The sequence below is a fragment of the Homo sapiens genome, chromosome 14, assembly GCF_000001405.40.
Source record: "Homo sapiens chromosome 14, GRCh38.p14 Primary Assembly".
Taxonomy (NCBI): Eukaryota; Metazoa; Chordata; class Mammalia; order Primates; family Hominidae; genus Homo; species Homo sapiens.
In genome coordinates, this window is record NC_000014.9 from 103869989 (window position 1) to 103883893 (window position 13905).

At 55.3% G+C, this 13905-nt stretch overlaps 1 long non-coding RNA gene across 1 annotated transcript, besides 7 other annotated features; it reads left to right on the forward strand.

Annotated features, from left to right (window-relative positions):
* Positions 1804 to 2173: a silencer, noted in NCBI's record as "silent region_6180". NCBI's record gives its function as "represses an Ori minimal core promoter by ATAC-STARR-seq in GM12878 lymphoblastoid cells {active_cell/tissue: GM12878}" and the evidence as "EXISTENCE:reporter gene assay evidence [ECO:0000049][PMID:35858748]".
* On the forward strand, positions 2099 to 10390 carry LOC105370689 (uncharacterized). Its single transcript, NR_188198.1, has 3 exons — positions 2099 to 3473; positions 7407 to 7607; positions 9416 to 10390. It is a non-coding gene; the product is annotated as an uncharacterized LOC105370689 (long non-coding RNA).
* Positions 2184 to 2243: a silencer, noted in NCBI's record as "silent region_6181". NCBI's record gives its function as "represses an Ori minimal core promoter by ATAC-STARR-seq in GM12878 lymphoblastoid cells {active_cell/tissue: GM12878}" and the evidence as "EXISTENCE:reporter gene assay evidence [ECO:0000049][PMID:35858748]".
* Positions 2484 to 2663: an enhancer, noted in NCBI's record as "active region_9113". NCBI's record gives its function as "activates an Ori minimal core promoter by ATAC-STARR-seq in GM12878 lymphoblastoid cells {active_cell/tissue: GM12878}" and the evidence as "EXISTENCE:reporter gene assay evidence [ECO:0000049][PMID:35858748]".
* Positions 9964 to 10258: an enhancer, noted in NCBI's record as "tiled region #8463; HepG2 Activating DNase unmatched - State 1:Tss". NCBI's record gives its function as "activates a minimal TATA promoter and a strong SV40 promoter by Sharpr-MPRA in HepG2 cells {active_cell/tissue: HepG2}" and the evidence as "EXISTENCE:reporter gene assay evidence [ECO:0000049][PMID:27701403]".
* Positions 9964 to 10799: a biological region, named in NCBI's record as "Sharpr-MPRA regulatory region 8463".
* Positions 10117 to 10799: an enhancer, noted in NCBI's record as "H3K27ac-H3K4me1 hESC enhancer chr14:104346442-104347124 (GRCh37/hg19 assembly coordinates)". NCBI's record gives its function as "activates a minimal SCP1, AML or CMV promoter by ChIP-STARR-seq in primed H9 embryonic stem cells {active_cell/tissue: H9 hESC(primed)}" and the evidence as "EXISTENCE:reporter gene assay evidence [ECO:0000049][PMID:30033119]".
* Positions 11483 to 12164: an enhancer, noted in NCBI's record as "H3K27ac-H3K4me1 hESC enhancer chr14:104347808-104348489 (GRCh37/hg19 assembly coordinates)". NCBI's record gives its function as "activates a minimal SCP1, AML or CMV promoter by ChIP-STARR-seq in primed H9 embryonic stem cells {active_cell/tissue: H9 hESC(primed)}" and the evidence as "EXISTENCE:reporter gene assay evidence [ECO:0000049][PMID:30033119]".

The window sequence follows — 13905 nt, forward strand, 5'->3', positions numbered from 1 at the left end:
TCTTCCTTCAATGTCTGAACTGCCCTGAAGAGAGGAGGGATGGGGTGTTCCATAGACAGGAGGTGGTAGTGCGGGGCCCTGTCAAGATGTGGGCTCTTGAGGCTCCACCGTCCAACTCCCTCCAGGCCTGGTCTCAGGGGACCTTACAGGAAAAGTCTGGCCTTGGTCAGAAAAGCCTAGAGGTTGGCCACAGGCTGGTACGTGGGGGCCCAGAACTGGGCCTCTGACCCCTGCAGAGGGAGTCTCAGGCCTGGCCTGGCTCCCTGCCACAGGATCCCTAGAGCCACATGACTGGTCCTACTCTCCCCATTCCCCTGCTGGGCTCCAGCTCAGTCGCAGGAGCCAAGCCAGATTTGAGGCCAGAGGGCTTGACCAGGTTGGTTCCTGCTAGGTGGCTCTGCGCAGAACCCTCTTACAGCCCATCCAACTGGCCGGGTCCCTTCCCTTTTGTACCATTCTTGTTGGTCCCTGTCTGCCTGACCCTGTGTGGCACCTCAGGGCTGCAGCCTTGGTCTGGGTCCCAGCCACTGGTCACCTTCTGCCCTGAGGCCTGCCCTCCCTGCTGTCTGGGGCTGTCAGCTGGACCTTGGAGCATGGCCATCCCAGGCCCATTCCTGGCTCTGACCACTGTGAGGGGCCCTGGTACCATCCTCCCTGGGCACAATCCCCCTGGATGCTGGCTGGTCAGGTGGAATCACTTGTTAGCGGAGTATAACGGAGTAACAAGCCAGGCGAGGTGGCTAATCCCAATACTTTGGGAGGCCAAGGTGGGAGGATCGCTTGAGGCCAGGAGGCTGAGGCTGCAGTGAGCTATGATAGTGCCACTGTGCTCTAGCCTGGGCAACAGAGCGAAACCCTGTCTAAACAAAACCTAAAAACCCCCCAAAAACCCAAAAACCAAAACAAAAAGAAAACTATCCTTGACACTTTAGTGTAAGTACATCTAATGATAGCTGTAATTATTTCGAAAGCATATGTTGTTACGAGTATGGGGACATCTGGACTTTCTCTTGTAGGAGTGCATCCTTGCAGGTATCTTTAGGCTGTTCCCTTAATTGTAAGCTTCTTGTGACCACAAGTTGTGGCTGGCAAGGAATGTGCCTTGTTAGTCTCAGGATGGAGATGAACTTACAATGGCATTGCTCTGGCTGTCCTGGGCTCCTGCTTCCCTAATGCGCTGGGCGCTGTGGCTCAAGCCTATAATCCCAGCACTTTGGGAGCCCCAGGAAGGAGGATCGCTTGAGCTCAGGAGTTCAAAACCAGCCTGGGCAAAACATATTGAGACCCCATCTCTACAAAAAATTGAAAAAAAAAAAAAGCCAGGCATGGTGGCTTGCGCCTGTAGTCCCAGATACTGGGGAGGCTGAGGTAGGAGGGTCTCTTGAGCCTGGGAGGTGGAGGCTGCAGTAAGCAGAGATCAGTCCCTGTTAAAAAAAAAAAAAAAGTGACAGTCCCCAGGAAGGTGCAGGTCGATGGTGGCAGCCACTGTGGTGGCTTGTGGCTGGTGTTCTTGTCCTATGTTTGTAGCCATCCCTAGGTCCAGGGTTCAGGGCTTCCTGTTCCCAGGAGGGTTCAGATAAGAGGCCCCGAGCAGCCACTCAGGCAGAGCCTCTTCCTGGGGAGAAGGTGCTCCCTGGGGCGAGCAAGTGGGCAGGCCTTGGCTCTCTCCATTCCTGAATACCTTCTACTGTCTAGGTAGTAGAACACCTTCTACTGACCCTGGCCCAGGCTCAGATACGGTCCAACCCGGCAGACCCTTCCCGGGGGCCTGTGACGGTCCCAGGCAGGGAGAGCCACGTCGGGGTGGTGGTCACCCCCAGCGCCCTGAACCTGCGAAGGCCCAGTGTAGGGGTGAGCGCGCACCGGCTGGGGGGACGTTGGAGAAGCCAAGCAGAGGCAGCCGGGCGCGCCTTCCTGCCCTCCCGGTGGAGGAGGACGCGGCAGGGACAGGCGGGCGGCCAGCCGGCTTCAGGACGCTTGACAAGGGTTTTGGCTGAGGGTGCGCCCTGGGCTCTGGAGCGCCCAGGTGCCCCGCCACCCACGGGGGGCGTGGTATGGGGGCGTGGCCTGGGCGTGGCCGGCACCGCCTCTTCCCTTTCCTGAGTCCAGAGGGCCCCTCCTGCCCGCCACGTTTCCTTCCTGCTGGGGGGCTTCTGTTCTCCCAGACCGGGTCGGTGCTCTTTTCCCCCGGCGCCCCTCCCCCACCCAGCCCGGGCCTTGCCTGCCGCAGCCACCTTCTTCTCTGATGCTGTGTCCTGGACTTGGTGACAATGGCAAATTGACAAGAAGGCGAGCCTGGGCCTTTCCTGCGGCGACATCCAGCTTCCCCCGCCCCTCCCTGGGTGGGTGCCCACCACACGCCCAGCCTGCCGCGTGCTTATCCAGGCCCTCCAGGCCAGGCCTCCGGGTCTTATGGAAGAAGGCCCCGTGTCTGGGCAGTGCCGTGGCTGTGAGTGAGCATCCGGGGCCAGTCAGATGTGCCGTCTCCGGAGGTCACTTCCATAGTGGCCATCAACAGCTTGGCCAAACTCGGCCGCAGGATCTTTTCCTATCAATTGCAGGATGGACTCTTCCCGCAGCCATGCGACCTGTGGCCCGCGGTCCTGCTCCCTGAGCTGGAGGAGGCTGAACAGAATGAGCAGGTTGAGGCCTGTGGGAAGGAAGAGCCACATCTCCTTCATGTTTATTACCCCCTCCGCAGGCCATAGCTAGGAGGCCTTGAAGGTTTTTTTAAGGGGGAAAGGGGGTTTCCAGAACCACAGCCGGCTCAGCAGAAAGTCTCCACCAACAGAATCTGTGGGCGCACATTCCTCAACAGCTGAAGAAGGGGCTGGAGGGGCTCATGGCATCCCCTCCAGAGGCAGGCCCAGGGCCCTGTGTGCAGTGGGGGGTCCTGCATCTGCATTGTTGTTAAGAAAGTGACATTTGGCTACATGGAGTGACTCATGCCTGTAATCCCAGCACTTTGGGAGGCTGAAGCTGTCAGATTGCTTGGGCCCAGGAGTTCGAGATCAGCCTGGGCAACTTGGTGAAACCTCATTTCTTTTTTTTTGAGACAGGGTCTCACTCTGTAGCCAAGACTGGAGTGCAGTGGCACAATCTCGGCTCACCGCAACCTCCACTTCCCAGGCTCAAGTGATTCTCCTGACTCAGCCTCCCGAGTAGCTGGGATTACAGGTGTGCACCACCACGCCTGACTAATTTTTGTATTGTTAGTAGAGACGGGGTTTCACCATGTTGGCCAGGTTGGTGTTGAACTCCTGACTTCAAATGATCCACCTGCCTTGGCCTCCCAAAGTGCTGGGATTACAGGCCTGAGCCACTGCGCCCGGACTTTTTTTTTTTTTTGAGATGGAGTTTCGCTCTGTCACCCAGGCTGGAGTGTGGTGGCATGATCTCGGCTCACTGCAACCTCCACCTCCCAGGGTCAAGTGATTCTCCTGGGTCAGCCTCCGGAGTAGCTGGGATTACAGGTACGTACCATCATGCCTGGCTAATTTTTGTATTTTTAGTAGAGACAGGGTTTCACCACGTCTGCCACGCTGGTCTTGGACTCCTGACCTCAAGTGATCTGCCCACCTCGGCCTCCCAAAGTGCTGGAATTACAGGTGTGAGCCACCATGCCCAGCCCTCATTTCTACAAAACATACAAAAATTAGCCAGGCTTGGCACACACCTGTAGTCCCAAGTACTCAAGAGGATGAAGTGGGAGGTTCACTTGAGCCTGGGGAGGTAGAGGCTGCAGTGAACCATGTTCTTGCCACTGCACTCCAGCCTGTGTGACAGTGAGGCCCTGTCTCAAAAAAAAAAAAAAGGCAACACTTCTTGAGGCTGCTGGTTTTTCAGCCCTGCTGTGCTGCATGCTTTTGGCGCTCACTCTAATTCACAGGGCCTCGAGGGCGAGACTTCGGCTCACAGCTGTATCCCAGGGCCTAGAACTGTGTCTGACATATACCAGGTACTCAATAAACCCTTGTCACACAAACCCCCAAGAACATTTCACAATGCTTTTCTTTTTTCTTTTTTTTTTTTTTTTTTTTTTTTTTTTTGAGACAGAGTCTTGCTCTATCGCCCAGGCTGGAGTGCAGTGGCGCGATCCCGGCTCACTGCAAACTCTGCCTCCTGGGTTCACGCCATTCTTCTGCCTCAGCCTCCCGAGTAGCTGGGACTACAGGCGCCTGCCACCGCACCCGGCTAATGTTTTGTATTTTTAGTAGAGATGGGGTTTCACCGTGTTAGCCAGGATGGTCTCGATTTCCTGACCTCGTGATCCACCCGCCTCGGCCTCCCAAAGTGCTGGGATTACAGGCATGAGCCACCACGCCCAGCCTTTTCTTTTTTTTCGAGTGCAGTGGCGCGATCTTGGTTCACTGCAACCTCTGCCTCCCTAGCTCAAGCGATCCTCCCACCTCAGCCTTCCGAGTAGCTGGGACCACAGGCACGTACCACCATGCCTGGCTAATTTTTTGTATTTTTAGTAGAGACAGGTTTTTGCCATGTTGCCCAGGATGGTCTCAAACTCCTGAGCTCAAGCCATCCACCCACCTCAGCCTCTCAAAGCGCTGGGATTACAGGCATGAGCCACCAGACTCAGCCTTGTTTCTCATTTATACAGGTAGCGATTGGAGGCTCAGGAAGGGAATTCATTGCCCAAGGTTGAACACTCAGTGGGAGAAGCAGGCCAGGACACAAGCAGGAGGGGCTCCAAAGCTGAGTTTGTTGCTGCAGAGCCTTTCCTGAGGTTGGGGAGGGTGTCTGCAGAAGGAGGCTGGAGACTGCTGTAGAATCACTACTACTGGTGACATCGTTGTTCTTCTCTGACCTGACCCCTGAGTTGGTCAGACTTGGCCATGTGGACAACCCCCTGCTTCTCCCACTCTCTGCTGCCCTAACCTGAGACTGGTTATTCAAGTGTCTTCCTCACTGTCTCCCCCAAACAGGAAGTATTTTTTGATGCTCTTGCATCTGGGGCTGACCCAACACTGCTCATCCCATGTGGTCATTGCTGGCTTACAGGTCAGTCTGGCCCTTGCATTCGATGTTCTGTAAGGACAGAGCTCATGGTGCTGGCTCTGAGAAGGAAACAGGAAGTGGCAGATGGAAGGGTGGGTAGGTGGGTAGGTAGATGAATGGATGAGCCGGCGGATGAGTGGGCAGATGTGTGTGTGTACGGACAGGTGGGTGGATGCATGGATGGACAGGTGGATGAATAGATGGGCAGATGGATGGATAAATGGAAAGGTGGGTGGGTGGATGGATGGATGGATGGGTGCGTGGATGGTTGGATGGTTGGATGGATGGATGGATGGATAGATGGGTGGGTTGGTTGGTGGATATGTGGATACATAGATGGATTGATGGACAAGTGGATGGGTGGATGGATGGATGGATTGATGGACAGGTGCATGGGTGGGTGAGTGAATGGATGGATGGGTCGATGAGTGGGTGAGTAGATAGATGGATGGATGGATGGACAGGTGGGTGGGGGTGGGGTGGGTGGATGGATGGATGGATGGATGAATAGGTGGGTGGGTAGACAGATAGATGGGTGGGTGGATGGCCAGGTATGGTAGCTCACATCTGTAATCCCAGCACTTTGGGAGGCCAAGGCGGGCAGATCACCTGAGGTCAGGAGTTTGAGACCAGCCTGGCCAATATGGTGAAACCTATCTGTACTAGAAAAAAAAAATACAAAAAATTAGCCAGGCATGGTGGCATGTGCCCGTAATCCCAGCTACTTAGGAGGCTGAGGCAGGAGAATTGCTTGAACCCGGGAGGCGAAGGCTGCAGTGAGCCGAGATCATGCCACTGCACTCTAGCCTGGGCAACAGAGTGAGACGTCTCAAACAAAAAAAAAAAGATGGGTGGGTAGGTGGATAAATAGGTGGATGGGTGGATGGGTGGATGGGTGGATGGATGGGTAGATGGATGGGTGGATGGGTGGATGGGTGGGTGGGTGGATGGGTGGTTGGATGGATGGGTGGATGGGTGGTTGGGTGGGTGGGTGGGTGGATGGGTGGTTGGGCGGGTGGGTGGATGGGGAGGTGGGTGGATAGGTGGATGGGTGGGTGGATGGGTGGGTGAATGGTGTGTTCTCAGCAGCAGCCAGAGGACCACTCCTGTCTCCCTGTATATGCTGATTTGCTGGGGTTTCTGGCCAGAAAGAATCATATAGGCTGTCCATAAAACAGCTGGAGAGGTGGGTAAAGTTTACCCTGCAGATGACAAGGCTCAGGGGAGCAGGAGAGCTGCCTTTGAATATTTAGAGGACTGTCCCTTGGGAGTAGGCAAGGACACCCCTCCTGAGCCTCACGGCTCCACAGGTGGACCAAGAACCAGTGGCAGAAGTACCAGGGAGGCAGATGGTTTCTTGAGGCTCAAGCTGCCTGCTGGTTTCAGACACCTTCTCTTCTGGGGCTTCTGCCAAATGGTAAATGGAACCCGATCTTTTTGCAAACTTACATTTTTAGTTCTGAAATTGTTGATGACTCCAAACATTTTTATAATTAACAAAGTGTCTTGGCTGGGCATGATGGCTTAGGCCTGAAATCCCAGTGCTTTGGGAGGTCAGGGTGGGAGGATCACTTGAGGCCAGGAGTTCCACACTAGCCTAGGCAGCATGGTGAGACTCTGTCTCTACAAAAAGTTGTTTAAAAAAGTAGCCAGAAGTGGTGATGCACGTCTATGGTCTCAGCTACTCGGGAGGCTGAGGTAGGAGGATTGCTTGAGGCAGGGAGTTTGAGGCTGCAGTGAGCTGTGATCTTGCCACTACATTCCAGCCTGGGTAGCAGAAAGAAACCCTGTCTGTAAATGAACAAACAAATCAACAAAGCATCTTTTTTTAAAAAATAATTTTATACTTAAACATATTAAAAATTATATTATTGTAATAGAGATAGGGTCTCACTGTGTTGCCCAGGCTGATCTCAAACTCCTGGGCTCAAGCCACCCTCCTGCCTTGGCCTCCCAAAATTCTGGAGTTATAGGCGCAAGCCAACGTAGCTGGCCAACAAAGTGTCCTTTGAATGAAAGCAAAACAGTCATAGTCATAAATGACACAGAGATTTTTTTTTTTTTTTTTGAGACGGAGTCTCGCTGTCACCCAGGCTGGAGTGCAGTGGCGCGATCTTGGCTCACTGCAAGCTCCGCCTCCCGGGTCACGCCATTCTCCTGCCTCAGCCTCCTGAGTAGCTGGGACTATAGGCGCCCACCACCATGCCTGGCTAATTTTTGTATTTTTAGTAGAGATGGGGTTTCACCGTGTTAGCCAGGATTTCCTGACCTCGTGATCCACCCGCCTAGGCCTCCCAAAGTGCTGGGATTACAGACGTGAGCCACCGCACCCGGCCGACACAGAGATGTTTATGATGGGAAGTAACACTGTGCCCCCAACCTCCCCACCCCAGTTTTTCTTCCCAGGGTCTCCCCAAGAGCTGCTTCCTTTGACTCCTGCTGTGTGTAGTTCTGCTGACAATGACCTGGACAGCTCTGCGCCATGCACAGCGTCTCTTTTCTCCGACTTACCAAATTTTAGACACTACTGACTCCTCCATGTGAAAGATGGGAATTCAGCTACATCACATTACCCTACAAACTTTATTGTTAATGTAATTATTTTTATTTCTTCTACTGCTTTTTTGGTAACTTTATTTATTTATTTATTTATTATTTATTTTCGAGATGCAATTTCGCTCTTATTGCCCAGGCTGGAGTGCAGCGGCACAGTCTCGGCTCACTGCAACCTCTGCCTTCTGGGTTCAAGTGATTTTCTTGCCTCAGCCTCCCGAGTAGCTGGGATTACAGGTGCCCACCACTACGCCCAGCTAATTTTCTATTTTTAGTAGAGACGGAGTTTCACTATGTTGGTTGGGCTGGTCTCGAACTCCTGACCTCAGGTGATCTGCCCACCTCAGCCTCCCAAAGTGCTGGGATTACAGGTGTGAGCCACCATGCCCAGACTTTTTTTTTTTTTTTTTTTTTGAGACAGTTTCTCTCTGTTGCCTATGCTGGAGTGCGGTGGCGTGATCTCAGCTAACTGCAACCTCTGCCTCCCGGGTTCAAGTGACTCTCCTGCCTCAGCCTCCCAAGTAGCTAGGCCTACAGGCGCGCACCACTACACCCAGCTAATTTTTGTATTTTTAGTAAAGATGGGGTTTCACCACGTTGGCCAGGCTGGTCTGGAACTCCCGACCTCAGGTGATCGCCCACCTCAGCCTCCCAAAGTGCTGGGATTACAGGCTTGAACCACTGCGCCCGGCATATGTTTTAATTTAATTTTTAAAGACAGGGTCTTGCTCTGTCACCCAGGATGGAGTGCAGTGGTGTGGACACAGCTCACTGCAGCCTCGAACTCCGGGGCCCAATCGATCCTCCCACCTAGTCCTCCTGTGTGACTGGGACTACAGGCGTACACCACGCTGCCAGCTACTTTTTGTATTTTTGCAGAGCGGGGTTTCACCGTGTTGCTCAGGCTGGTCTTGAATTCCTGAGCTTAAGTGATCTGACTGCCTCAGCCTCCCAGATTGCTGGGATTACAGGCATGAGCCACTGCTCCCGGCCCTTGGTAACTTTAAATAATATTCTTTCTGCTATTAGGGAAACAAGAGCCTAGGAGAGCCAGGGTCACAACATCTTAAAACAAACTTCATCTTAAAACTAGTAAAGGACATTCCTTGCCAGTCACATAGTACTGAGATATTTACAAATGAGAAAACAGCTTAAAAATACCTGCAAGGACACACTCCCACAACGATGAAAAGTCCAGATGTTCTGATAGACACAATAATATATGCTTTCAAGATAATTCTACTTATGCTGTTTGTACCTGCATACTAAAATGTCAAGGATAGTTTTCTTTAAATCAACCGAATAATAAATTCTGTCATGCTATCAGCCCACCCGCGCACGTGGGCACAGCTTAGTTTAGTCTTTATACAGATAAGACCCCCATATAAAAAAAACTTAAAGCGGGCGCATTTTCTCTGCTTTCTGAGGTCGTCTCGCTCTGTAACTGAGTGGCTTTCAATAATGAGCTTTTAGGCCAAGTGCAGTCGCTCACGCCTATAATCCCAGCACTTTGGGAGGCCGAGGCAGGCGGATCACCAGAGGTCAGGAGTTCGAGACCAGCCTGGCTAACGTGCTAAAATCCCATCTTTACTAAAAATGCGAAAATTAGCCAGGCGTGGTGGTGGGGGCCTGTAATCCCAGCTACTCGGGAGGCTGAGACAGGAGAATTGCTTGAAACCGGGAGGCAGAGCTTGCAGTGAGCTGAGATGGTGACATTGTACTCCAGCCTGGGCAACAGAGTGAGACTCCGTCTCAAAAAAAAAAAGAATATGTTTACTTTCACACTCACCTCTGACCTCCTCTTGGGAAGACGAGGTTACCGGTGCCTTCCCTTCTCTTCCACTTTCAGATTTCTTCCCGGTCAGCCCCAAACACTGAATGTAAATACGGTCCAACATCAACCTGCAAACGAACACTGACATGAAAGTGCAGTTGGAAAGGATCTCGCAAAGGAACAGAATCTGGTGATCCTAATCGTAATGAACGTGATCGCCGGGTATTGAGAGCTTGCAGGTACCAGGGCTCCGGCACTACGTGTTTCACAGGGGCCACTCGGTAGACCTCTTGGTGACCTTGAGGTCAGGTACCACGTTCCCATTTTACAGAGGAGGAAACTGAGATAACCTACGACAGCGAAAAGGTAGCAGAGCTGGGACTGGTGCCCAGGCTCGCCGAGTGGAAAAGCCCTCGGCCACCGTGGAGAGCTCGCTTCCTGTGGTCTGAAGCGTCGCCCCTGCACCGGCTTCTGCTGCCAAGGATGGCTTTTCCTCACTGGTGCCCACCTACGCTCACTTGTGTCATGTGGTTAAGCCCTTTTGGCAACATAAGACCTTTCCCAAGAATGTGCCTCGGTGCAGAGGAAGACGGTGGGGGCAGGCCCCCTCCCCGGGATGCTCCACCCTCCCTGACCTCACACGGGTGCAACCTGGGCCGTGGCCGAGACCTGCTGTGTGGCAGACAATGGGAAGCCTGTGTGTCGTCCTGGGTGCCGGATTTAGACAATATTTAGCTTTCCCTTGGTGGAAAAGCCTTTCCCCTCCTGCTTTGGGCAGGAACTGGTTCCTGTTGGGCGGGGCCTGGCTGCTGCCCCACCCCCACCCGGCCGGGCACCTTGACCGGCAGCTCTCCGGGCTGCTCCCTGCCTGTGTCCCTGAGCACTGACTCCAGAGGTTTAATCATTAACGGGCACGTTTGGCCTTCGGTCGTGGGCTGGAATTTGGGACCTGTGCCCGGGAACAATGATCTCCGACACATTATTTTGTGTAAAATCACTTTTAGCTGCCATTAGCTAATAAAGCTGGAATAAAGTGAGGTCCATTAACCAGCACTGGCCTCTCGGCCTCTGGGGCTCCTTGGGAGGGACCCAAGGGACTCACCTTTTGAGGACCGTGAAATCGCCGCTAGAAAATGTGCTTACAATTGTGGTCCAGCACTGAAGCTGCTCAGTATGTTTTCAGTCCCCTCTGTGGCAACCCCGTGTGTGGTTTTGGGGACTGGCAGAGTGCCCTGGAAGCGTGCCCACGTGCTGCAGATCCACCAGAGGAAATGCTCGGGAAACGCTGACGCCTGCTTTGCCCCCTGTTTCAGGGTCACCGAATGAGAAGCTGTTGGGATGAATGGCTCCCCCACCCTCCTAGCCCGGGCCAGGGGTCGCCCAGCAGCAATGCCCACCTCCCTTCGTCATGGGAGGAGCTAGTGCTCCAGTCAGCCCTTTTCATCCTGAGCTGTTTGCTGGAAGTCACCAGTGGGTATCCACAGCGCAAGCCTCCTCTCTCTCCTTCCCCCAACCTCTGAGACAGCTGGCTGGATGCTCCCTCCAACCCCATTCCCCTGCCCTCTCCTGAGGACAGCTCTGTCGGGAGCAGGGCCTCCCAGCAAGAGCCAGCAGCTGCGCTGTTTCTGCTGCTCCAGCATTTCGGGGGCAGCTGGCTGGAAGGGTAGGGGCGATTTAGAGAGGCCCACTGGCAGGTGTGGTGATGGGACTCCATGTCTCCCGCATGGGACGCCCCCTCCTCCCTGGGCTTCATTCTTAGGGTCCCCAGTCATTCTTCCCTGGGCACAGCCCTCCCTCTCTGTGCCTCATTAGCTCATCCCCAAGTCCACCCTACAGCTGGTCACCTCCGTCTTGGTGCAGCCTGCCTCCATGGCCCCGCCTGAATGCTGAGTGCCCAAGGGCCAGTGTTGCAAGGGGACCCCACCAGCCTTTCTACAGAGGCAACCAGAACCCTCTGGCCTCTCCCCATCTTCCTGCCCTCCCACATTTCTGCCTCCCTAGCTCTGCCCCCTGCCCCAGGAAGCTGAGGCTGCAAACTCAGAATCTGCCTTCGCCTCTGGTGCGCTGCCAACTCCCCCTTGGGCAGGCCTGTCGCCTGCAGCCTGTGTCTGTGCTGCCCTCCACTGCCGTGGCAGTGCCCAGGCCAACTGGTCGGCATGCTTGGGCTCAGGGACAACTTCACGGTCAGCACGTGGCTGTGCATGGCCTTGGACACCTGGAACGTGGAGCCGGTCAGCCAGCAGCTTTCAGACAGGGAGGGGCCGAAGGGTCCAGGCCACACAGAGGGCCAGGGCCAGCAGCCAGGCACTGGCTGCCACCACCCGTTTTCCCCCAGCAGCCCTGGGCTCTCCCTTGGTGGCTCTGCTCTGTGACTGCGGGCTGGTTCTTGGACCTCGGTTCCCTGCTGTTCTGGGAGGCTCGGGGCCTAGCTGAACTTGGGGCCTTCCTGCCTGCCAGCCCCTGACTCCGGATGGCCAGACACACTCCCAGAAACTCCACCCGGCCTCTTGTTGGCCACCGGAAGGGCTGGCGAGAGCTGCAGGATGCGCACACCCCTATTGAGGGCTTGCCCGCTGCCCCTCTGGGAGCCTTCCTGGAATCCGGGAAATGAAGGCGCTCTCAGGCAGGACACCCAGTCAGATCCGTCTCGTGCAGGGCTCCGGGCCCCGTTCCTGGCCCTGCCAGGGAAGCCAGACCCGGCTGCCCAAGAGCAGACCCTGCCTGCAGAAGCGCTCCCAGGGGAGACAGCCAGGACCTCACTGGGAACAGACCCCCCAGGTTATTTCCAAGCCTGCCCCTCCTTTGCCTCCCTGCTGCCTCCTCATACCCCCCCCGCACCCCGGCTGAGAGCAGCCACCGCCCAGCTTGCCCTGCCATGGTTCTCTGCTCAGGCTACAGCCCCCTGGATTAGAGTGGTTTACTGGTCTCTGCTACTTTTAGGATCAAACCTAAACTCTTAAAGAACTTGACCCACAAAGAGCTGGCTCTGCAGATCCGTGGGGGAAAAGGTAGACTACTCTGTACATAGGGTTTGGACAACTCTCAAGAGAGAAAGCTGGTTTATTTCACATCACTGGGAGAGATCCACTCCAGAGGGATTAAATAACTTACAATATAGAAAATATTCGAGTGTGGGCCCTCCTTCACCCCCAAAGTGGGGTGGCTCTCCAGGGTCATCACTGAAAACACTCGATTGCATAAAAGCCCCGTCGGCTCTGGGCACAGCCAGGAAGGTGCATCTCCCCAGACAAACAAGCTGTATTATCTCCAGCATGTAGGACAGGGAGGTGATGTTCTCCAGATGTTAGGAGCTGCCTCCCACTCCCCGGCCCTGCCCAGGCTGAGTGCCTGCTGAATGCTTTATGTAAGTGCCAAATGGCAGCGCTTGCACCCTGGGGCCGGATGGAACAGCAAGGAGGCCTCGGGCCTGGGTGGGGGCCTTGGGGCCCTGCTAACACCATGGGAGGACCTGTGAGGACCAGCCCTGGGGAATTGCACCTGGCCTCAGGCCCTCCCCTCCTGGCCTGGGACAGAACTGTACAGCCTACTCCAGTTCAGTGCCAAGTGGAGCCACTCCTGCAGGGCAGTGGGCTGGGTAGGGATGCCACATGTGAGCCGCAGTCTTGGCAGGGACCTGGTTAACCTTGCCCTGCACGCAAGGTAGTCCCTGGACACCACAAAGACCAACCGGCTCCAGCCCGGTCCCAGGGAGCTTGTCTCAGAGACCGGCAGGCAGGGCAGGCCCGCTTCAGAAGCTGCCCTGACGGGACATTGCGCTTGTCGAGGCGACACAGACAGACCTGATGCAGCCCCTGCCGCTGCTCTGCGACCCAGTTCCCTGAGCTTGGCTTCTCTCAGCTGTGGACAGGGATAAGAATCAGGGCACCTGCCTCAAGGGTGGCTGTGAGGGTGAGATGGCGCAGCCCAGGTGCCCGGACATAGTCAGCACTTGGGAAGGTGCCCTGGGTGTGCCCCAGGTGCATAGTGCACACAGGGTGGGGATGAGGGGCTCCCACAGGTCTGGAAGATTTCCTGGGTCTGCACTGGGTGGCCTGGGCTGACACGTGGGCAAGAGCACCCTGGCCTGCAGGGCACAGGATGTACAGAAACTCCAAGGCCAGGGGGATGGTGAGAGGCTGTCCCACTACAGGGCCTGGAGAGCCGCTGTGGTCTGGGAGGGACAGCGTGCCAGACTTTCCTCCTGGGAGTCTCCTGGCCTCCTGCTGTCTGTCATGACCGGGAGCCTCCCGGCCTCCTGCTGTCTGTCATGACCGGGAGCCTCCCGGCCTCCTGCTGTCTGTCATGACCGGGAGCCTCCCGGCCTCCTGCTGTCTGTCATGACCGGGAGCCTCCCGGCCTCCTGCTGTCTGTCATGACTGGGAGCCTCCCGGCCTCCTGCTGTCTGTCATGACCTCCTCTGGCTCCCAGAAGGCCTGGGCTAGTTCATTTCCCCTCAAGATTCCCAAGCCAAGGGTGATGGTGTATGCCTGTAGTCCCAGCTACTCTGGGGCTGAGTCAGGAGGATCACCTGAGCCCAGGAGTTTGAGTCCTGAGGAACATCTCTG